This window comes from Homo sapiens, chromosome 1 (genome assembly GCF_000001405.40).
Source record: "Homo sapiens chromosome 1, GRCh38.p14 Primary Assembly".
Taxonomy (NCBI): Eukaryota; Metazoa; Chordata; class Mammalia; order Primates; family Hominidae; genus Homo; species Homo sapiens.
The window spans coordinates 169,104,007-169,105,737 of record NC_000001.11 but is presented as its reverse complement, the minus strand read 5'-3'; the positions used below and the strand labels follow the sequence as shown (position 1 = coordinate 169,105,737).

At 51.6% G+C, this 1,731-nt stretch overlaps 1 long non-coding RNA gene across 1 annotated transcript, besides 1 other annotated feature; it reads right to left on the bottom strand.

The window, feature by feature from the left end:
- Positions 58–631: an enhancer, noted in NCBI's record as "H3K27ac-H3K4me1 hESC enhancer chr1:169074345-169074918 (GRCh37/hg19 assembly coordinates)". NCBI's record gives its function as "activates a minimal SCP1, AML or CMV promoter by ChIP-STARR-seq in primed H9 embryonic stem cells {active_cell/tissue: H9 hESC(primed)}" and the evidence as "EXISTENCE:reporter gene assay evidence [ECO:0000049][PMID:30033119]".
- On the bottom strand, positions 831–1,614 carry LOC101928596 (uncharacterized). Its single transcript, NR_135799.1, has 2 exons — positions 1,245–1,614; positions 831–1,028 (listed from the first exon to the last, which is right to left on the bottom strand). It is a non-coding gene; the product is annotated as an uncharacterized LOC101928596 (long non-coding RNA).

Genomic DNA, 1,731 nt, shown 5'->3' with positions numbered 1-1,731 from the left:
CAGCCCCGGTTCCTGACTGCCCGGCTGTGCCCCTTGTGGGCGGCCTGAACCACCTCGAGCAGGACAATTGCCAAACCCACCCAGGGCGGTAGCCCGCAGTGAGTTGTCCCGTAGAAACCAATTGAGACTCAGGCCAGTCTAGACCCCAGGCAACAATATCTGCACGTGACCCAGCCACCGAGGACTTTCTTGGTGCCCGGTCGGCGGCGGGTATTCTCATTGGCATGCTTTTATGCCCCCTTGGGGGTATCGATCCCTTTGTTCTGCTGTAAAATTCTTGGAGCCAAAGGACCTTTGGGAAAACCTAGCGCATAGGGCAAGATGTTGCAGACCTGGGGCATAGAGTACCCCTTCCCACTCTTTGTCCGCTGTTGCTGGAAAGCCAAACTCTTGGTTTCATCCCTCTCCTATGAGCCCCCAAGCAGCTTTATACATCCCTCTGAGGACAGTGACACAGCAGAAAACACCGGGATGCTTCTGCTTCCACTGCAGAGAAGCCCTATCCCCAGGGGCCATCATGGCCCATCTTGACGTCCCAGCCCCATATCAGAGAATTCCCCAATACCAGGATGCTTGTCCTTATCCTGGCCACCCTTCTGTCCCCAAGGTCAACCTCGCTGGCATAAAGACAAGCCCGAACTGATTAAGAATGAGCATTTTTCTAATCCTTCTCCAAGCTCGCCTGCAGGACCTGTGCAAACCTAAACATTCCTGAAATTCGGGGGAGAAGCGACCACCTATCCACCAAGCCCCAGTGGGGGAGGCTGCAGGGCTCTGTCAAGGGCATCCGAGAGAGAGAACAGCTTATTGAGAAAGGAAGCCACCTCTCGTTTAGCACCTGTAATGTTTATGTTGGAAAAACCCCAGCTTGGTAGTATGAGAGCTGCAGGAAGATGCTGCACTTGCGGGTATGATGACCCTGGTCCCCTTCAGGCAGAAGTTACCTTATCGAGTAGTTTTCCAGCAGGACAGGTTGCTGGGAAGGGTATGTGTTGTTGAGTGTCCATTACTGTAACAGGAGGGAAAACCTGTAGGCAGAATCAGCAAAAAGAGATGAGTGGGGAAAGGGTAGCATGGGAAGGGATGAGGCGGTTCTGGGAGTTGGTGGTGCCCTTACTTGTGCCCACTCCGTTCCTGTACCTTGATTCCCAACCCCCCTTCCAAAAGAAGCATATGGTAAGACAAAATATATAAAGAGAGTCTCCAGTGACAGATTTTCTTTTTTCCTAAAACAAGTGTCCTACCTTAGCTCTTCAGAGGTGTAGCAAACACCCAGTAGACTGATGCTTGGTCTCTAGTCTTTGATTTACTGTCTTCCACTGGGGAATATCTTCCCCTCTCAAATTTTAGGTCCCTAGCTCTACTCATCCCCCCTTCCCTGCATGGAAACTCTTCACAGGTTCAGATGAAGTCCTGAGGGTCACGTCTGCACAGCCAATGCAGCAGCTCATCCTAAGCCAGCCTCCTCCAGCCTTCCTGAAAACCTCCAGGTTTCCACCCAGTCCTGGGATTGCTGCTGGAAAACATGATCTCAGCCCTATAGGAACCAGATTTATCTCAGTAGCTCATCTCAGACTCCACTTGCCCCGCCACTCTAGACCATCTGGAATTGTACCACTCATCTAACCACTTCATCACACAGAACAAGCTGGTAAAGACCTACATTCACCTTCCCAGCTTCAGAACATGCATGCTAGCTGGGTGACCTTGGGCAAGTCACTTGTTCTCTCC